The following is a 22813-nucleotide window of genomic DNA, read 5'->3' on the forward strand; positions in this document are numbered from 1 at the left end:
AAAATCATTAAGCAGTAGAACAGCAGCATTTCAGGATTTGTTCTTCACGTTTCCCAAAGAAAAGCAATGCCTTTTACGTGGGTCTTGTGTCGAGAGTGCCAACACATCTGGTCTGCTTTTTCTAGCCACATGGAATAGGCATTTTTCATTAACATTTGTGGTCTGTGAGACTAATTTACAAGGATATCTATTTTCTTACCTAGGAGTTTCAACAATGCTATTAGTTGTGTTGTTTTGTTTTGGTTTTTCCCAAAGAATGTGTGCTCTGTTGGGTATCACTTGGGACTAGGCTTTTATAACAGGGCAGGACACCTCCTAATGCATCCAGCTTGGACAACTGAGTAGGTCCTCATTCAGTAACATCAAGAACCTTTGATGAGTTGGATTCTTCAATAGATGGTGAAAAGGGAGTAAATGATTTTCCCTTCTTAGACGGGAGGTCTCCGTCTGTGATTCATTAGGAATTTTCCAGGGTGGGCTAGTGATTGTAGTAGTTGCAGAAGAAGGGTCTGGTATGAGAATGGAGGTTGAAAAGCAAGTTACTTAATCAGTGACTAGAAATTCATTTTAGTCGATTAATATCTCTAGTCCTTTGTGGGTGTCAGGAACTGTTCTAAGCCCTGGGGACATAGCATTAAATGAGTCAGGAGAAGGTCTCATCAAAAGACCTTCATGGTATGGGAGAACAGATCCCAAAGCACGTATATGAATAAGCAGATAATATATATGCATAGTAAGTTATGTACTTACTGTAATGAATCAAAAAGCAGGGGAGGGGATGGAAAGTAAGGTGCAATGCTATTTTAGACTCAGCCATCAGAGAAGGCCTGTCTGAGGGGGTAACATTTGAGCAGGGATCTAAATATAAAGTGAACGTGTGACCCATGAAACATACAGCAGGTGCAGAGACCCTGTGGTTGAGACATACTTGAGGTGTCCAGGAGTAAGACATCCAGTGTGGCCCACGGATATGAGTACAGGTGAGTTTAATAGATAACATCTAGGAGGTAGACAGGGGTCAGAGGAAGTTAGGACTTGGAGGCTGCAGAACATATTTGGGATTTTAACAGTGATGCAGAGGCATTGGAGGGAGGGTTGTAATCTGACTTTAATGATCAGATAAGACTGCTTTGTGGAGACCAAACTGCCAAAGAACAGAAGAAACAGCACCGAAGGGCAATGGGGGGGCCCTTACAGCTGTCCAGAGAGGGGTGACAATGGCTTGGGTTAGTGGGGTGGCTGTGGGTGAGAAGTGGTCATCTTTAAGCTGTATTTTGATGGGAGAACAAACAGGACATACTGGCAGATTAGAAGTGTACAAGCTCGAGTCTGTTAAATGTCCACTCCCCACTCTTGTTCTAAGGGTCTATCAGTTAATTCCATGGAGCACCAAGGCTTTAATCCCTGAGGAAAGCAAACCCTTTATCCCTGTAGTAATTGTCCCTTGTTGAGGGCTTTGCTGAACTCTCCAAGGTGTAATAGTAACTTACTGTCATTTATTGAGCAAATTATGTGTGCTAGTATGATATACATACATGCATGTATATGTATAATGCATGCATATGTATGATAAACTATATATGCATGTATATATGTATCACAGTAGTTCAACGAGGTGTTATCCCCATTTTGGAAAGTGAAAAAAACATACACTCAGGTCCAGAAACATTTAGTAGCTTGCCCAGTCACACTGGAGTCCATCTGATGCCAAAACCCTTCCCCTGGGTCACACTGCCTCCACACACACCTTTTTCTTCACCCTTGGAACTTTGGCCTTCTCACTCCAGATGGAATTCTACCTTCCCCAGTATGCTATCTTGCTCCTATGAAACTAGTATTTTGAGTCGGATGACAAAGTTGTTACTATTTGGAAGAGACCCAAGGGCACTGTATGATTCTTTAGCAGTTGTTCCACTGGAATTTTATTTAACTTGGCTTGTCCCCTTCAGGCAGCAGGCATATGTTTAGTTCCGTGTGCTGGGAGTACTGGTGTAGTTGTGGGGACAGAGGGAGCAGATGTCAGGTCAGGAAGCATGTTGCGTATTAGGGAAGAGAGGGTTAAACAGGCCAAGTGTGTTCTAGGTTAATTCACCAGACGTCTTTTTGCTGAAAGTTAGTGGCTGAAAAACAATTAACAATATGCTAGTCCCTGAAAACCCCAGACAGGTTGAAACAGTTGTTTTAGACACAGAGTCCAAGAGGGTGTGTGTGTGTGTGTGTGTGTGTGTGTGTGTATAAAGGGGGTAGGTGGAGGCTGGGACTCACTAGCAGGAAGATATGCCCCTTCCACCATGCCAGGACCCACCATGCATTCCCTTAGCAAATCTGGGGACATGTTTTCATCTCAGTTCCTGATGAGTATGGGACACAACCATGTGGGGTGAGGGTAGGGTCTGCAAGAAAGCCTTGAGCAAATGAACAATCTGCAAAAGCTGTTGAAACTGTTCTCTGTGGGGCAGGTTGCTACCCAAGTTACCAATTAGAAGCAAGTTCAGGGGTACAAGGAGGTGTCACCAGCGCCTTTCATTTTTCTATCCCCACTTCTCAACCTACACATGCTGCCAGCTACATTAAAACTTTAGGTAATATTTAATATTTAGAAGAAGTTTCCCAATTGGCCATTCCTCTAACTGATCCTTCAGCAAGTCTCATCTAATTGTCTTTTCTGCATTTTAGTGATTTGATTATTCAGCAAAGTTGTCATGCAGTAAATTGATTTGTGGCTAATTGGTCCATTTCCAATAAAGTGTGATATGTATTATAATAGGGAAAGTACAGGGAGCTAAGGGGCCATATAAGCAAAGGAACTTAGGAAACATACTCCCACTTATTGAGAACCTTCTGTATATGAGGCATAGTCTCAGGCTTGCTGCATGCAATAACAATACCCTATAAAGTGTGTGCAATCAATTTGTGAAAATTAAAGATGTCTAGATAGTCTGAATTAGCCTAAGTGGGAAAGTGCTGTATCCATGCATGCAGAATTTTAAAAAATGGAATGGTGGTTATCAAATTCTAGAAGAATGCACCAAAGTCACCTGGAGAACTTGTTACAAATGCAGAGCCTGTTTTGTCGCCTTCCCCTGCCCCTGAGATTCTGATTCATAAGTCCGGAGAGGGAGCCTGGAAATCTGCATTCTAACAAGTTGCCCCAGATAATTGTAATAGAAAAGACCTCACACCTTGGGACACACTAACTGATCAATCAGGGACCTTTTCTCTTTGAGATAGGGTCTCTGTCATCCAGGCTGGAGAGTTCAGTGCAATAGCCTGATCTTAGCTTCCTGTAATCCTGGACCTCCTGGGATCTAGCGATCCTCCCACTTCACCCTCCCTAGTAGCTGGGAGTACAGGCAGGTGCTACCACACCCAGCTGATATCTTAATTTTTTGAAGAAATGGGGTCTTGTTCTATTGCCCAGGCTGATCTCAAACTCCTGGCCTCAAGCCATCCTGCCCCTTTGGCCTACCAAAGTCCTGCGAGTACAGGCACGGGCCCACCACACCCAGCCAACGTTTTTTGTTTCAATGGTAAAAAGAGCACACAATAGGACTTGCTAAAGTTGTGTTCACATGTGGCTGTGGAGCCCTTGAGATGTGGCCAGTCCACACCAGGATGAGTTGTAAGTAAAAAATGCATGCTGGATTTCCAAAACTTAGTACAAAAATGATGTAAAATATATCAATAATTGTGAGTTACACATTGTAGTGATGACAGTTTGAATATTCTGGAGAAAATAAAAATGAGTTCACCTTTTTTTTTTACTTTTTAAAATGTTACTGTAAAATTTAAAATGACATATGTCTTGCATGTGTGGCTTTTATTATGTTTCTCTCAATCCCATTTTAGAACCACATTTTTCATTTGGCTCAAATGAATATTGAAAGAGTTTGTGTGTCCCCAAGAACTGGTCATTTGGAGGTGGGGGATGTTCACCAGGAGTTAAAATGTTGTGACAGATAATCTGGACATTGTCAGTGTCTTGGTATTGGATTTTAACGTTGCCTCCTGGTGCTAGGTGGGTGTGTTGGTGCTGTAGAGGGACATTCCTTGGGGTTCAGGGCCCAGAACCTCCCTACTTCTCAACCTGCTTGTTTTGTCTTAATCTTTGATCTGCTTGCTTTGAGGATGGGAGATGCCAGTACATAAGACTTTGGATCATCAATCCAATTCAGGGGTAGCTCTGACACATGTACCCCTGGGGCTTTACCGGGAAGCTCACTGATCCCACATAAAATAGACGAGAGGCAATAGCTGCAGTCCTCTCAGTCTTAATAACTGTCACTTGTTTAGTCCTTAACTAGTAATCATAACCCTCCTCTCACCCTCACTGTAGCCTTGTACGATGAGGATGCACCATTATCATCTCCATTTATAGATGGTATAACCAACTCAAAGAGAAGAACTTTGAGATAGCTTAGCAAGAAGTAACAGTCAGTGTTTGACTCTAGAAATTCTGACTGAGGGATCCCCAGCTGCTGTTCAACCCTGCTTCATGGAAGGGTATTGAAAATCTCATAAGGGATACAATTTGTTTTTCCTCCTATGGGGTAAAGTATAGCTGGGGTGCCATGGTGATTTCAAAGCACAATAAAAATTCTTAGTGATTTTGGTAGAGCAGGAGTAGACAAACAAAGGAGAAATGAAATTTCTAAGAGAAGGATGGCCTTGAGCTCTGCATTAAAGAGAATGTGCCTACAGCTCCTTTTTTAGAGGAGGTATTCTAGGGCAGGAGAATTTCATCACCAAAAGTGGGACTTACTTACTGTGTCTTCTCTACTCCGAGAGTGGCTGCTATTCTGCTTTCCCTCAAATCTGCTGTTGGGTTTCAGAATAGGAAGAGGTTTTCAGAATAGGAAGAGGTTTTGAATGGCATTGGTGGGCTAGAGAAAAGATGATGTGATCTGATTTGCCATGGGTAAATGGTCTGAGTCTTTTAGATGCCACAGTGTTGGATTTGTGTACGTATTATGTATGCATAGTTCTGATGTATGACAGGTATCCATGGGCAAAAAAAAGCAAGTTCTGTGGCTTCTCATGTAGGGTCTAAAAAGCTCAGATGTGTTCCCTCCTACTTCTCAGGGGAGGCAGGGAAATCACGAGGTTGAAAAATGTGCTAAGTGATTTCTGAAGTTAAGCGCTTTAAAGACAAGCTAAGGAAGTCAGCAGCAATGAAACTCAAACAGAGCCAAGTAGAGATGACTCCATGTTATCTTGGAGCATTTCTTCCACTTCTAGTTTTATCATTTTTGGAGACTTTGCTGCATTTTTAGTCATTTTGTAGGTCAGGGGTCCCCAACTGGACACACAGCAGGTGGTGAGCGGGGTGGGGGGTGAGCAACGCTTCCTGTTTGCAGCCGCCCCCTCTCACTCACATTCCTGCCTGAGCTCCACCTCCTGTCTGACCAGTGGCAGCATTAGATTCTCATGGGAGCACCAACCCTACTGTAAACTGTGCATGTGAGGCATCTAGGTTGCACACTCCTTTTGAGAATCTAATGCCTGATGATCTGAAGTGGAACAGTTTTTTTTCCTGAAACTATTCTCCACCTCCCTGGTCTGTGGAAAAACTGTCTTCTACAAAACTGGTCCCTGGTGCCAAGAAGGCCAGGGACTTCTCCTCTAGGTGTTTAGGGACTGGTTTAGTTCCTCCAACTTCAGTATCTTGAGAAGCTTTGAGGATAAGTGAGCTTGGTCATCCCTATGGTCAATAAATGTATAAGTCATTGCTCAAATTAAAACTAGGAGAAGGCTATAGTAACCACAGAGGAGTATTTCCCTAAATTCACTAACTGACCAACAGATCTGAAGTCCAGAACTCAGTTGACCCTTGTAGAGTGAAAGTGAACAGGAACATTTCCTAGATAAACCATTGCTTTCTGAATTTCCCAATACATCCAAGTAGTTATGTTAATGCTTTCAGGAGGGTTTCTCCCTGTTGCAGCAAACCAGGGTGCATGGCCTGAGGTTCTGGAAACCCTCTCAAATCTTTCTGTAGGGCAGAGGTGGGGTGGTTGGCACCTGTTGTCTCTCCATGTACCTGCATAGTGCACTGAGATAACTTGTCCTTTCCTTGAATGGCTCTTCTCCTGCAAGATTAAAATCTTGGCCATAATTACCCCAACATTTTCTCAAATGGATGCGCACTGGGATTAGCCCAGACCTTACAACCTGGGATTCTGCGATTTGAAAATGGAGATTTTGGTTGTGTGGTAAATATTTATTGGCATGAAGATAAGAGACTGATCATTTCAGAGATATACTGAGGTGTCCTAAGCTCGGAATTTTTGAAAGATCTTCTGTGAAGTCCCATATTCTGGGCTACATTTCTTTGTCCTTTGAAGTGAGCTTTTGTCTCCATTCTGACCCCACAGAATCCCCAAGAAGCTGAGGGGACCTCTCTGCAGTTGCAGAATTGCCAAGAGATTTGTCAGAAGCCTTCAGCCTCTTTCAGTAGGACTGTGAGATCTTACTGTTTTGCTGCATTTTCATTTAGTGACGAGTATGGGATGGTTGAGTTGGAAAACATAAATGCCCATAACAGTTTATGATTGACAACGGATTCATTTATTTCTAGTTGGATGAGAGAAGGAAGTAAAGCAGTAGCTGGGGCAGTGCTGCAGAACTCAGAAGCCATGCGCCCTCCCCTTCTGGTCTTGTTCTTTCTTTTCCTGGCCAATATTGGCTGTGACTCCTTTCCAGCCCCTGAGAATTGCTGAAAGCCGAGCATTTTGTCCAAACACAGAACACTTGGTCTGGAATGTATGTTCCAGATGCAGTTCCTCCGGATGGGCAAAAGCAACAACTCATTGGTAATGATACCAGCAACAATGCAAACCAAAGGATTGTCTTCAACACATCATTTATTTTTCATTTGGAAAAGTCCTCAAACCCCAAAAATGAGGGCAATGAAATAGGATGAATATCTGAGTGGGATGAGAATCACTTCTTCCTGGGTGCAGGTTACCTTCTGATGTCCCCCTTCTTACCTGGTGCCCCAGAGCACCCCAACCAGGGGGGTAGACAGCAGAACTGCTAAATCTCATTTGACCCTATACAGGGAAGTGAAAGAGAACATCCCTTTAGCTAGACCATGGCTCTCTAAAGAGCATGCTTTTAGAACCACTGAACCACAGTTGGTGCCCTGTTGCTATGCTGTACGGTAAGTGTGCGACTTGCATGGATTCATTTTTCCAAATACTTAAGACTATGCCTTAGATATAAGGATAAAGGAGGCACTGTAGTCCCTAATTGCATTGCAGAGACCCGGGCCATTCATTGATCCCTGGTGAGACATCCCATTTTGAATGCATACTCTGCAGCCCTTCTCTGTGTTGGGAGGGGTACAAGCCCATGCATTTTCTTGCTGCCATTTGGCTGTTTAGGATGTCTTTGCTACCTTCTGAACTTCATCTGAGAGCTGAGCAGATTTCACTCATCTTTCTGCTCCACAGGATTCACCCAGCTATCTCTGGGGTGAGAAGCATGGGGAGATGATACTAATGGAAGAATAAAAAGTTCCCAGGGCATAAACGCTCCTCATCAAAATAGGGAGTAAAATATAGTGAAATTAATTAGTGTTCTTACTGTGGCCCTATAAGAAAATTATGTTAAAACCCTGGTGTGGAGTACCAACATGGGCCCATTGTATCTCATTAGCATCCAGCTTGTTTCAAGTAGGTGTACATAGTACTTCTTGCTAACGTGTCTCAGTAGAGTTGATAAAGCACTTTAACAAACACGGGTTTATATTCCCATTCAAGAGGCTGCATACTTATTCATTTTGCTCCAACACAACCTTAAGTTCAAGTAAGTATATCCATTTGAACTACATCTGTAACTCATAAATTAGATCTCAACTCCAAAAGCATCTGTAATTTGATCGGTAGAGCTGCATGTGATTATATTAGAATGGAATTTTTCAATTGCCTCTGCAGACCAAAAGTCTGGGCAAGGAGGGAGAGATTGGTTTGTGAAATACAATCTAAGAAGCCATGTATCATAATCTCCTCTATCTGTAGGTGGCTTAATATTTACCTGGCTTTCTTGAATGCACCTTGAGTTAGGTAGGGCTCAGTCAGAAAACTACTGCTTTACAAATGAGGAAGATGAGGCTCAGAGAGCATGCTCTGTCCAAGTCATGAGAGCAAGGACATCATAAAAGCAGAACTCAAACCTGGATCTTTTTGCCCCAAGTCCTGAATCTCCAAGCCCTCGGGTTGCTTCCCAGTTTTAACTTGTTGCTAAAGGTCAAAAAGATGAGGTCTCATGATGGTTGCAAGCCATGGTGAATTAGCCAGGAAAGCAGTCCTCTTTTATATCTTTGTTTAGTTTTTCCCTGAAGGCTTTTGATGAGTTTTATGGCAACTTGGCCAGTGTTTTGCAAACTCACAGAAATGATGTAAAAAGTGTACACTATTTCTAGAGTCCCCAGAAAGTTTTCTTCTGTCTTGAAGCATCCTGAATGTGTCTGGGAGCAGCTGACCCAGAGTCTTCAAAAAGCGTATCTGAATGGGATCATAATTACAGGCATGAGTGTCTCTCCCAGGCCCCATTTCTCTCTTTACTCCTTTGTCTTGCTGCCTCCTCTCTACCTGCACTGTTCTAGACAGTGGGGATGCAATGGCAGACAAAATAGACACTGCCCCAGCCTCCATGGAGTTCTCGTTCCAGGAGGGTGAAAGGTAAATGATCAGGTGGAGTGGGAAATAAGATTATTAGAGTTGCTATACAACATGAAGGGGTAGGGATGAAGTTGGAAAGTGCCCTTAAAAATAAGAGCAGTCAGGCTGGGTGTGGTAGCTCATGTTTGTAATCCTAGCACTTTGGGAGGCCAAGGCAGGCAGATCACTTGAGGTTATGAGTTTGAGACCAGCCTGGGCAACATGGTGAAATGTTGTCTACAAAATGCAAAATTTAGCCACGTATGGTGATGGGCGCCTGTAATCCCAGCAACTGGGGAGGCTGAGGCAGAATCGCTTGAACCCAGAAGGCAGAGGTTAGAGTGAGCCGAGATCATGTCACTGCACTCCAGCCGAGGTGACAGAGCAAGACTCTGTCTCAAAAGAAAAAAAAAAAAAAAAGGCAGAGAGCCAGAGAAAGAAGCATCTCTTCATCTCTCTAGGGAAGGGACATTTGATTTGAAACATAAAAGATGAAAGTCAGGTGGAGGGTGAGCAAGTGCCAAGACTAAGCAGAGAATGGATTTGCATGTGTGCAGGAACGATCAAGAAAGCCTGTGTGGGCCGGGCATGGTGGCTCATGCGTGTAATCCCAGCACTTTGGGAGGCCGAGGCAGGAGGATCACGAGGTCAGGAGATCAAAACCATCGTGGCTAACACAGTGAAGCCCCATATCTACTAAAAATAGAAAAATTAGCTGGGTGTGGTGGCAGGTACCTGTAGTCCCAGCTATTCGGGAGGCTGAGGCAGGAGAATGGCATGAACTTGAGGGACGGAGCTTGCAGTGAGCCAAGATTGTGCCACTGCACTCCAGCCTTAGCAACAGAGCAAGACCAACTCAAAAAAATATTAAATTTTTTAAAAATCCTATGTGCCTGGAGCACAGTAACCAAGGGAAGGAAGATGAAGATTGAAAGAGGGACAGAGGCAGCTTATTCAAGTTTGGATTTTATTCTAGGATCAATGGAAAACTATTGAAGGGTTTTAAGCGGGGAGTCATAGGATTAGATTTATATTTAAGTGGAGAGATGGACAGACTTGAGAGATTTGATACATGTAAATAGCTGCTGGTTTGAAGGAGCAAGAGTTGAAAAAATGAGACAAGATTTATGGCTGTTGAGTTGGTGTTGATGAACTAGTGGCATATATTAGTGTAGTCATCATGTGCATGGAGTAAAGTGGACACATTGAAGATTTCTTCCGAAATTACTGATGGATGGGAAGTGGGCACATGGAGATCATCATGATCTGACTGCACTACTGCCCACTTTGGCCAGGGATGCATGGTGTGGAGGATGACCATATAGCTGGTCGTGTCCTAACATGGCGACCGTAAGACCTCTTCCCATCATTCCTGTGGACATCCTGGGTATTGCTGTGCTCTGTCTCCGGGCTGTGCTTAGCCAGCTCTGAGGACATCAGATTGCTGACGTGCTTGGCATATCTGCTGCAAACGTAGCACTCAAGTCCACATCTTCCCCAATAACCTTGTGACTAAATTGTAGTGTCACACAAGGGCGTGTTCAGAAATTAGCATTTGAAAAGAAGCCTCCTTGCTTTCAGTTTGAGCTGACATGATCTCTTTTCCTCTGGGGAAATGAAATTTATTAATCATAATAAAACCATTGGATTCTGAAGGTAGAGGTCACCCTGAAGAGAAAAGGAGGCAGCTCATTTCTGAGGAGTAGTTCAATGCTGCTGTATTTTCCTTCTGCCTTGGAAGAGAATACTGCCAAATTGTTACCTTGGGTTTTCCACAAAGGTTGAAACTATGCCCAGCGTTATAGAATTTACCACTGAAGTATGCAGTAGGAAAAGGTGGGAGCTACGCTTTTATTAAATACATTCAAATTGCCCATATAGTGTCTCCCCAGAAGAGGAAATTATTGCCACAGTAAAACCATTTCCCCAATTTTTAAAATAATATATCTGAATTTGCATCTTTTCACATTTGTTTTGAGGTAACACCTTGCCATAACATCACTTAACAAACTCTCAAGGATTTCAGTTTGCCTCTGCACTTCATATCCTATTTATGAAACAGCTTTGCCAAATTTAAGTACCTTAAAAATAACCCTATTAACAGATTTTTCTCTGGACCAATCAATCACAGACTTCATTCCCTCATGAAATAAAGAGCAGTACCAAGGTTATAGTTTTCCTTTTATGCCTGTTACTATGTACTTCTAGTTAAGTGGGTAAAGGCCCAGGTCTCAGGAGTGAGCTCTCTGAATATATTATTATTTTATCAAAAACTTTTTAACACATCTGCCCTTGGACCGATACCTGTTTTTCCTCCCAGAAAGAAGGATAATCGTTGATTAAAGGCCATTTTTGATAAGAAGGACTGAAGGGTGTCCCCAAAGAATGAAAGGCAAGAGGGAGATGACTGTCAGTTTCACTGACAGATTCACCTCAGAAGAGAGGCATCCCTTCAGGTCCTTGTTTGAGGATCAGGAGAATCCTCTTGAAGCTGAAAGCCTCATCTAGATTATTTGCACTCATCAAGTGCCCTTTGACACAGGCAGATGGGCTTGAGAGTTGGAAGATGCCCAGTGCAAACCTGGTATAATCAATTGTTTTATTCCACCTAGGGTCTAACTTGGAGTCTGAGAAGGTCCATCATCACGCTTTCTTCACCTTCTCAGACTCCATGGTGTGAGGTGGTCAAACATGTATTGGATTGGTATCACTTATCTACCAACCATGAGAAAGCTTGGAAGGAAAATGGGGGGAAAACAGGAAAGGAGAGGGAAAAGGTACGTGCAAATTGGGCTCTAAGGGATGAGAGACGAGCTGAAGGTTGATAATACAGACAAACCATTTCTTCCACCAGCCTTGTTCCTTCATTCAGGAAATGGTCAAAGAATCAAAAAACGATGTCGATCCCAGTGAGTGTCTGATGCATTCATGCCGAGCTGCTGTGAATGTTGGTTGCTAACAGTACAGCTGTTCCCTTCTCCAGAAAATTGCCCCATGTCAGAGGAAGCCACTTTAACTCAATGGTGCATCACTCACTCCTCAGGAAAGCCCACAGCTAATGCCGAAAACTTATGTAGGCATTAAAAAGCCAACCCACTTGCCTCTAGGTGGAACCTGCTGTAGCATGAAACCCATAGGATCAGGTCGCAGATATTCATCTCAGACGTTGCGTTTTTTTTCCCCTTGCTCTGACCTACTTGCCCCTCTCTTCCTCTTGAGGACACCCCATTCGGTAAGTCACTTGCACAGGAATCTATTCCAGTATCAGCTTTCAAGGAAGGACGTCAGCTTCAGTCAGTATTAAGATAGCAGCATTCAAACTATCTCCAGGAAAATATCTGGCAGGGCAAACAAGTATGGGCACAGGATACGGTGGACCAAGCACGCAAGTTGCCCTAAGAGATTCAAGTATCAGGCTGAGTGCAGTGACTCACGCCTGTAATCCTAACACTGAGAGGCTGAGGCTGGTAGACTACTTGAACCCTGGAGTTTTGAACCAACCTGAGTAACATAGCAAGACTTTGTCTCCCCCCTCATAAAAAATCAAGATCTGCCCTGTCTAGTTATGCGACCTTGAGCAAGTGACTTCACTTGATTCCTTTAAAAAAAAAAGTTAACTTCCAGATATTTAGTAGGCATTCAGCACGTTTGGTTTCCATCTCTTCTCCATTTTTATCCTAAAGCCTATACCAGAAGCCATGGCAGGTAGTAGGATGGTAGAGAGAAAAACACAAAGATGAGTAAATGTCATTAAGATTTGTTGTTTCAAATGCCTCCCCCTTCCCAGAACCTGGCCATGGATTAATGTGACAGAAGTTCTGGAATAATAGGATCAAAACCAAATCAGTCTGATTGAATGGGAATGGGAATGGGGGTCCCACAGACCCTTTAAGGCTGCTTCCATTCAAATATACTTGTTCCTTTCCATTCTAAGATGCTGGACACTAACTTCAGACAGGTTCACTTCACCCTTTCTGATTCACCCTATTTCACTTGAATGGTGACAGCTGAATCAGGAGAAAAAGGCACTCTCTTGAGAATTAAAATACCCTCTGTGGGTGCTGGGCTTAATACTTGAAGTTGTTTCTTTCTTACCTACCTCAGTCTCTAAGGCAGCTACTTGAGCAGTGTAGAAACAGTATTATGGGGGGAGGCAGGGAAAAGCATATGTAAGTACGTGTGTATATATGTATTTATCTGTCAAACATAGCAATAGCAACCATGTTAAATGCACAAAAAATGTATCATGTACAGATGAACTCTTCTTATACTACACAGCAGAGTAGAATTTGCTTCTCACTGGAAGATGAGTAGGGCCCCTGCATACTGTCTTGGTATTTTGGATTTTATGATTGTTATTGTTTTGTAATTGCATACTGTGGATCAATCTTCACCTCTATTTTCCTTTCAGTTACGGACGAGTTTATGCTGCCGACCCCTACCACCACGCACTTGCTCCAGCCCCCACCTACGGCGTTGGTGCCATGGTGAGTACAAGTTTCTCCTTGTCCTCACTTCCTCCTGCCTCCCTTCCCTTTCCCCAGCTGGGACCTCAGTACGGGTTGACGTCCTCTCACTTCCCGTTAATTGAATTTGTCTCTTGTGCTAACAGCAGCTAAAATGCCACATTAATCCTCCCAGTAAACTTGATAAATGTCTTAATTTCTTGGCAATGTAGTGCATGTAAGTTATTATATTTCTAATTTTGCAAGTCTCACCTAGCAGAGCACTTACCTTAATGGAATAATTAGTCATTTTGATAATTAAATCCATCACTAACAGAATGCAGTGTCAATGCAGAACTTTTTTTTTTCTTTTTTTTTCCCTCCCTTGCTGCTCATTCACATAGCCCCAAGGTTCCAGCCCCAGCACAGACTTCAGAGGAGCTAAGCTGCACACTTCCAGGCCTCTGCTGTCAGGCAGCTGAGAATCTGACTGCCTCTCCTCCCCTATTACAATTCATGTTTAAAGTCATAGTCGCCCAGGAAAGAAAATAGAGAGGGGCACACTTTGTGTGTGTACCTAGTACATAAGAAAGTAGAAGGAATCAGCTGGGTTTGGGGGTTGCCTTTTGTTTTGGGGCAGGTCTGGGTTTTTGTTTTGGGAGGGGGTGGGGGGAGGGTAAAAAATGGGAGGTAAGGGTGGGGTGAACTTGCCTGTACTTGTTCAAACTTCTATGCACTGAAACTCTTGAGTACAGTAAGACGTGCCCATCACGTGAGAGCATATGCAATCATTACAAAGCTTTGGCATGCAGTTTTCTGCTTGGATCAAGAATATCAGTCCTTACCCTAAAAATGAATCCCCATAGGCATTCATTTGAATTGCCAATACTTTTAGAAAAAGGAAATCGTTAAGTGCCACCTTGTAGCCATTAAAACCATGGCCGGACAGTTCACTGAAGCTCAGTCATAGAAATTCAGCCATGATTTGGAAGCATTGTTTTGCACAAGCTTAATTACATCAAGCAATTCATCTGTACAACTCCACAACTCCCTTCTCAAGATCAGATTCCATACAGCTTACAGAGCCAAGTTAAGTAAGAAGTAGGTTGAGATTTTCATCCCAATTCTGCATTCAACAACTCTGCTTCAACACCTAGTCCACATGAGGAATGTGTTGGAGAGTTGAATTACATTCAACAACTGGTCCAAATTCAACCTCAAGTGCAGATTATTCTGTTATAAAAAAATGAGACAGTGAAAATCCTTCCATTGTCCAGCTTATAATAGAGTCCTTTTAGCTAAGAGGACTGGCTGACAGAATTTGGTTTTGCAGGGAATTTCTTTAGGAGGAGCTATTGGGGAAGGTCAGGAATGGCCCTATCTTTAGTTCTCCAAGAATGACCTGGGATGGGTAGGGGGTGCCTCCATTTCGGTTGGTTTTGAGTGTCTATTTTTCACATTAGTCTTTTTGATGATCCACATGTTGCAAAAGGAAAATGTAAAAAACACACCCCTCAAATTGCTTTGTTTCAGAATGCTTTTGCACCTTTGACTGATGCCAAGACTAGGAGCCATGCTGATGATGTGGGTCTCGTTCTTTCTTCATTGCAGGCTAGTATATACCGAGGGGGATACAACCGTTTTGCTCCATACTAAATGACAAAACCATAAAAACCTTCCAATGTGGGGAGAAAGGAAGCTTTCCGAGGCCTGAGTATTGCAATACATGCAGTAGTACATCATTTTAGCAACTCTAAAAAAAAAAAAAATACAAATAAAAAGGAAAAAAAATTACATTTTTTATCTTATACCTCAGATATTTTGTTCTGTGTATTTTAATATTGTGGGTCTTTAATTTCTGAAGGTTCCGTAGTTTGGTTGCTGGCTGTAGGAGTTTTTGTGGTTGATCTAGACAGATGCTAGATAATGAATAAAAACTGGTTTAGGGCCATATCCAGAGTGCTATATTATGTAAATGAATTATATATGCTGAATATTAAGCTACTGGGGTTATCAGCTATTTGGGAAGAGTGTAAGTGACTACAGTAGTCATTTTTTTCTGCACCTGCATTATTTTATTTTGCGAAAGGGGAGGTTGGGAGGGGCTTAGGGGATTGGAACTGGGGTTTGGCTGAAAGAAAAAAAAAAAAATGTAACTGATGAATCTAAACGACCCACTGCACCAACAATCATTTATCAATGGTTCTAAGTTACTCATTGCCAGTTCAAGCCAAAGGTCATGTTGTTAAGGGGGTGCTTCTAGTAGCACTTGTGCATCTGAGTTGAATGAAGCTGTGCAAACCCACCCTTTAAACCATTCCACCCGGCAGTATTCAGCTTCTTAACCAGTCGCTATTTAGGAAAAAAAACCCACTAGTTAGGCCATCAACAAGCATTCTTTTTATATTTCTTCCAGTATAATAAATTATTGATATCACTGCTGACTTTTATATTATGGGAGGGAAAAAATAACATTAATAAAAAGGTGATAAAAAAGCACTGTTTCTATTTTTTTCTTTTTTTCCAAAAAAAGAAAGTAATAAAAACTTAAATTCTTTGTACCAGTTAAAAAAAATGTATAAAATTTACATCTGTGCAGTGGAGTTGTTAAGTTCTAGAAACAGTCTATGAAGCTTTAGTTTTAGCCTAGTAGAACAACTGTTAGAGACAGACGTATAATTTTTATGGAATTACATGATAATCATATTCGGATTTATAGAAGCATTTTACAAGTATTGCAATCATTGAGTAGAGATAATCATGGTATTTTCATCAGCTTGGTACTTTTTGAAACGTGACTGCGTTGTGTGAACAATCTGCAATTTTTCAGTCCGTGAGATCCTGCCCTTCCACCTCTTTCCCATACCCCCAAGGATTATCTCAAAATGATCTCTTTAGTTCTGTCTCCAAGGCCCAGGACACTTGTCAGAAGGATGCAAAAAAAGAAAAAAGTACATCCACCCTCTTAATCCCAAAAGAACAAAGTCTCCCCACCTTTCTCGGATGCAGGGCCAGAGTGACACAGCCGAAAAATTGCAGTTTGTCTGTACTTCTGTTTGAACTTTCCACGTTGTCCTGTTTACAAGTTAACTTAAGTTGGGGTATCCGTCACGGGTCTTCCTGTTTTGTATTTAAATAAAAACAACAGCAGCAGGCTGTCCCTGAGTAGTTTTGCTGCCATAGGTTAAGTCCTCATGTGTACAGTGCAGGCCCTGTGGCCCGCACTTCAGTAAGTTATCAACTCTCACCGCTGTGAACCTGCCAATCCGCTGTAACAACTCTGCTTTAAAACAAAACCAAACAAAACTTTAAAAAAAAATGTGTGATCCAGCTTTCTCTTGCCATCCTATGTGCATGCCGTAAGATCAGTTGGATATTAAACCATCAATAAAGTTTCACAAGATTTGAAAACAAAGTTTCTGTAGCTTCGATACCTAAGACAGACGATAGTGATCTTGAAAAGAGAAAAGGGGGAGGGGGGAGCTACTTATCAGCCAAAAGCATATAAAGTGTTCTTTTCACCAGACTTCTTTGGGTGGGTGAGGGGAGGGGCAAGAGGGTGTTTTATAGCATCACTAAGACATTCTCATTCCCCCACCTGGAAAACAGTGTTATGGCAATGGGTGCCTGGTTGATGTTCTTAAAGGAAACGAATTATTAAAACACTATGACATCCTCCAGAGGGAAGAAAGAGTAGGAGCAGGGGGCTATGGAGAATAAATTTCTCCCAATTGCCGCCTCAGATTTCAAAATCCAGAATTTGTATTGTGTTTCGAATCACAAACATAGAATTCTTACTGTGTTGGTTAAAGTAAAATTCATTTGCAGTTTTGATTTTCATCAATGAGCTGTACTTTCCCCCATGACTGTATGTAGTTTTAATAAAATCATTTAGAGTGAGTGAGTGCCAACCGATGTTGCAGAATCTTTTGTCTAGGCACTCCAAGATGCCAATAAGTCATTTTAAAATGTATGTCAGAGATGTAAACAAACATTTTGGATTTTTTTTAAACAGTATTTATTTGGAATGTTTTCATTTATCTAAATAACTATTGCTATTATGAATTATGGAAAATTAATATTATGTGTGGCATATAGTGACTTCTTAACACACACATCACGCAATCTGCAAACCCAGAAAATGTGTATATCTGTCTTTAGAAATTAGTGTTTATATCACTTACAGTGGTTTGTGAATAAAGAAAACTGGTTTGTAATATCAAAAAAATAAAAGCTTAGTCTGAAAAGGTACAAGTTGGTGTTCTGAGTTATTTGGCTTCCATGGGTTTTCTCTCTCAGTGGGTAGATTTGTTATCCACAGCTGTGATTGCACTTGGGCCCGCCCGGGGATGTGGGGTGGGTGTTGCCCAAGTGAGCAGGAGGCTGCCCTGGCCACCAGTAGACCAGATGCCTCCTGCAAGTTCCCTGCTTTTCTGGATTAAAATCTTTCCCTTCCTCACTCATTTTCCCAAAGAAGTCAGTGGAACTCACCCTGGCTGTTTAAGAAACTGAACTAAGCTTAGCTATCTCCTAGCATGGAAGTATCAAGTCTTCAGTTTAAAACAAAATACATCACTCATCTTAAATATGTTTGAGCTATTAATTACTTTTTGGGACACCTCGGATAAGATGAAAAAAATATAGTAAGTGCTAGAGTTCACATACATTGAGTGCTCATTAGGAGCCAAAAATCGTGTGTTCCTTATTTAAAAATCAGGGTTGAACTGTCCACCCCATTTAGTTACTTAATATCTTAATCCTATCTCATTATATCTTAATATTCCTATTAAGTTGGTATCACTGAAAGATTTTTAACATGTGCGTTCTAGAAACATATTCTGAGTGTGCACCCTGATTCTGTCAACTTGCTGGTGGCAATCCAGGATGAATTAAACCAAAGTGCTGTGCCTCAGTTTCCCCAACTGCACCTCAGGATCATCTCACTGACCTAATATTGTTATGCAGAAGAAAGCAATCTCAATAAAGTGCTTGCAGCAGTACTTCATAAACTGTAAGCTATTATCCACAGGTGAAGCAACTGAGACACAAAGATTCATTTCTCCAAGGTCACAGAGCAAGCAGGTGATCACCCTAGGATTCCAGAACGTGCACCCTTAACTGACGAGGCATGTTCTCACCTGACCAATAAGAACTTTATACATGAGCAGTTTAACCCTGTGTGCCACCTGCAGACTCTTTGTTCTGCAATCATTTTTTTTTCCACACTGCAGGTTGTCTTCACAGCATCTATCTTATTTCAGTATATTTAATCATCCCTTCTCTGTAAACTCCTTATATATGAAGACCATGCCGGTTATAAATCAACTTGTATTGGCCTATGTCAACTGATCCTTAAAGATAGGGTTACCCTTATTTTATGAGGACAGGAAGGATCCGATAGGTCATATGATTTGCCCAAAGCTGTATCTAGCAAGTGTTGAAAGAGGGCACAACATGAAGAACTGTCGGACCCTGAAGTCTGTGCCTGCTTTATTATCGATGGTGATGGTGGTAGTGGTGACATTAAATTTGGGATTCTTGTGCTCTCCTTACACAATATGTATGGATGTTAATTAAAACAAGTCGCTAGCTTTATCCTCACAGGTGGTGGGAGGGAGGATAAGGGTTTCCTAAAATACTGGTTTATACCTGAGCCCTTCTCCACTAAATAGGAGGATATAAGAGGTGATGACAGATACAGTTTACATTAGAATCTCCAAAAGCAGGCTGTTATCCAAAATAGAGAAGCATCTAAATTTTATGTGAAATGTAGAGACAATTGATGGCAGAAGCAAACAAGTTTAAGAGACCTGGCCAGTGCATGCAGATTCTTGCCATCCCACTCCTGTCCTCCCCCTGGAGTGTGGGCAGAGGTGAGAAAGGAAGCCCATATGCCATGCATATGCTTCATGCAGAAATAGAGGCTGGCTGGCATTTTCTGTGGACAATGCCTGAGGGGTAGCCATTGCTTCATCCCACTGGCTTTTTCTTTTTTGAGATGGAGTCTCGCTCTGTCACCAAGCCTGGAGTGCAGTGGCATGATCTCCGCTCACTGCTACCTCTGCCTCCCAGGTTCAAGTGATTCTCCTGCCTCAGCCTCCCTAGTAGCTGGGACTACAGGCACGTGCTACCATATCCAGCTAGTTTTTCTATTTGTAGTAGAGATGGGGTTTCACCATGTTGGCCAGGCTGGTTCTCAAACTCCTGGCCTCAGGTAATCCACCTACCTTAGCCTCCCAAAGTGCTGGGATGACAGGCACGAGCCACGATGCCTGGCCAGCTATGTACTTCTTAAAGCAATATATTGAACAGTAAAATCTTCTCCACGTTAAACTAAAATATTACAGATACAGTTCAGTTAGCTTGGACCACTATCTTTAAGTTCCCACTCAACATCCTGACAACTTTTTTTACCTATGTCTTCTGAAGCCTGTTTCTACTTCCTGGGAAGTAGCCATTTTGGAAGGAAATGTAGTTTTTGTGGGCGCACACTCACGCATACACACATGCGCACACACAAGCAAAAGCATTTTACTGCTGAGACAGTGTTCATCCAACCTATGCGCTACAGATTTTCTTAGAACCTGGTGAGCTTGAAAAAGCAGATTCCTAGACCCCTCTGCTTTCAGAAAGCATTTAGAACCTCTCCTAACCTCTTTCAGTTACCTCACCCATAAACTGGGGATAATTGCACCATTAACTTAAAGGGTTCTTACAATGAGATGTATTAAAACACACAAAACACTTAACCTAACATAGCATTTTCTCTAATAAATCACGTATATATCTATATAATGTACATGTATCCATATATTTTATGCATTCAAATATTTTAAAGATCAAATAATATGCACATTTTGGCCAGGTATGGTGGCTCACGCCTATAATCCCAGCACTTTGGGGAGGCAGGCAAAAAGCGGAGGGTCACTTGAGCCCGGGAGTTCAAGACCAGTGTGGGCAACACAGGAAAGACCCTGTCTCTACAAAAGATTAAAAGATAAGCTATGTGTGGTGGTGCACACCTGTGGTGCCAGCTACTAGGAAGGCTGAGGTGGGAGGATCTTTTGAGCCTGAGAGTGCAAAGTTGCAGTGAGCCATAATTGCACCACTACACTCCAGCCTGAGCAACAGAACCAGACTGTTAAAAGATACATAGTATATATAGTATACGTACATATACACATATGATATTCTACACTATGTTTATACACAGAACTCTATGCAATCGTATACATATAAATCTCTATGCATAGAGACCAACTGCTTTTTAATGTCTCTGTGCATTAGCATAACTACCATATATATATTATGAGACCATAAAAATATATGCCAATTCCTACAGAACATGTAGGTACTGATAGAGTAAGAGATCAGCAAGTGGGACTTATTACCGTTATCTTAATCCTTACACCCTGGCAAGATAAATCCTATTATTTCCCCAGTCTACCTGTAAGGAACCAGAAGCTTGAGCAAGGCTAGGGACATGCCCAGGGCATATGGCTATTAAGTGGTAGAGCTGAATCACGGTCACCGAATCCAAAGTTGTTGCTACATGCTAAACACTTAGCATATATCCTGGCACTTAGTCCTTGCAGCAGCCTCGGGAAGCAATTTGCCCCATGTAACAAAGCATATGAAAGCCTTGGAGCTAGGAGCCAAAGCCAAAGCATTCTTCTCTTTACTGCACACTGCACTCGGATGTCTGGTTTTACTAGCTGCCTAGCGAGCACTTGTTTAGATGGTGGGGTATCAAGAGGGCCCCATCGTCTTCCTTTAAGGGTGCGCACCACCCCTCCCATGATGATTCCTCATGAAATCGAGCAGGTGCCTGTGACTTTGACATCCAAGCGCCCTGACTGAAATAGACAGATGGCGTGTTGCTTGAATGAAGCAAAAAGTCAGCGAGAGCAAGAGAATTCCCCAGGCTCTAAAGAAAAAAAAAATAATGGCTGCAGGTAGAAAATAGAAGAGCAGAGACCCAGGAAGTAGGGTAATGGTGCTGCTGTGGGCAGGTGATGGCTGCAAAGGCGCAGAATGCAAATTGGCAGCTCATCAGCATGCAGACTCCAGCAAATCTTATAAAGCAAGTTAAACCCTGCACAACCCCCCTCCAAAAATCTGCCTTAAAGCAGACAGCAATAAAACTACAGGCCAGAAAACGAAGCCCTCATGCTCACATCTGGAAAGTCCAACTTTCTGCAACCACACCAGAAGTTGTCTAGAACTGAAAACCAGGTCAGACGCACAGCACACAGCTCGACTTTTATCTCCCCCAAACACTCCTAGGCTGGCGAGTGGCATTGAAATTCATTACTGTAAGTAGGATTTCAGCAGCAGCCGAACTGCCGCTCAAGCTGGACGGGGCTGTCAGCATAACTGGCTTGCTGCTGCTTTTTTCCTTTATTTTCCTAAATTGCATGACTAGATGACGTATTGTTCCTTCTACTGTTTCCCTTTTTTTCCCCAAAGATCTGTTCTCCTCTCACCCCAAAGAGTGTGTGAAGATGGGGGGTGGGGGGTACACATTTTATGAGAAAGGGAAAAACCCGCAAAACCTTCAGTGTTAGTTACAACAAATACCGAAATTCAAAGTGATTACGCCATGCACGGTGGAAAAATTAGCTCCTCTTCCTAAAATTTTTCTATCACTCGAAAATAACTGACTCTTCTAAGCTGATGGAAAGACACTAGATCTTTGTTGTTTCCATTAAGCCAAAGATTAAGGCATGTAGCAGAAAGAATAGAAAAACAGACAGCAAGATGTCGTGGTTAGAGGTCTTTTTCCTCTTTTATTTTTAGATACAACGTCTCACTAGAATGCCCAGGCTGGTCTCGAAATCCTGAGCTCAAATGATCCTCCCGCCTTGGTCTCCCCAAGTGCTAGGATTATAGATATGAACTACCATGTCCCAACCTTTGGCCTTTTTGTTTTAAAAAAAAAAAAAAAAAAGATTCTAGATGAACCTCACTTTAGATCCCACCTCTACTAGCTTCCATCTTCTTCCTAGCTGTGTGACTTTGGCAATTTAGCCTCTCTGGGGCTCACTTTTCAGATTATGGAAATGCTTCATTGGATTTTGATGAAGATTCAGTAAGATTGTGCAACACTAAGGGTTTGGGTCTGAGAAAGTTACTCAGCCTTCACTTTGCGGGGGGCGGGGGGGGGGGGCGGGGAATAAAGAGCCATATTGAAAAGAGACACTGGCTTTTGTGACCACAGGAGAGTGTTAAGTGAGGTAAAATTTGGAAAACCCGGGAGGCTGGTCACCTATTGAGAGCTATTCTTGAACATTTTAATGGTTATTTGGTATCTGTGCCTACTCCACTGGCAGCCACCTATGAACCTGCGTGTGCTTTGCATATCTGCAATGCGCATCCACAAACGCAGAGAAACACATTGCATCAGAGCCACTCTGCCCCATGTGTAAATCTCAGCTCCCCACCTTGGTTCTCAGCCAAGACGTCCAACCACATTAAACCCTCACATCCTCCTTAGTAAAATAGAAGGAAATATAATTACTTTGAAAGCCGATTGTCAGAAAAAAGTGACATGGAAGATTTGCAGTAAATCTTCACCCCTCTTGTTTGCCTCAAGATATTTTTCAGCCAGGAATTTCTGTCACTTTGATATAGATTTGAAATGTAACAGAACACTCAACTCCAATAACAAACTGTTATAGGTACCAAGACCCACCCTTTGCCTCA

General features: G+C 42.3%; 1 protein-coding gene across 52 annotated transcripts in view, besides 1 other annotated feature; it reads left to right on the forward strand.

The window, feature by feature from the left end:
- Positions 1-17359, forward strand: part of RBFOX1 (RNA binding fox-1 homolog 1) — a 2473620-nt gene extending 2456261 nt beyond the window's left edge. For 33 of the 52 annotated variants that reach the window (NM_001415887.1, NM_001415888.1, NM_001364800.2 and 30 more), the window contains 2 exons: positions 13075-13150; positions 14642-17359. In NM_001415887.1, the coding sequence (NP_001402816.1) occupies positions 13075-13150; position 14642 (77 nt within the window). In that variant the 3' untranslated portion in view covers positions 14643-17359. Of the gene's footprint in view, positions 1-13074; positions 13151-13512 lie in introns of all 52 variants that reach the window. The other 19 variants (XM_017023318.3, XM_024450303.2, NM_001411047.1 and 16 more) reach the window with 3 other exon arrangements.
- Positions 12971-14170: an enhancer, noted in NCBI's record as "MED14-independent group 3 enhancer chr16:7758954-7760153 (GRCh37/hg19 assembly coordinates)". NCBI's record gives its function as "activates an origin of replication core promoter dependent on BRD2, BRD4, P300/CBP and CDK7 cofactors, and independent of MED14, by STARR-seq in HCT116 cells {active_cell/tissue: HCT116}" and the evidence as "EXISTENCE:reporter gene assay evidence [ECO:0000049][PMID:35650434]".

The sequence above is a fragment of the Homo sapiens genome, chromosome 16, assembly GCF_000001405.40.
Source record: "Homo sapiens chromosome 16, GRCh38.p14 Primary Assembly".
NCBI lineage: Eukaryota > Metazoa > Chordata > Mammalia > Primates > Hominidae > Homo > Homo sapiens.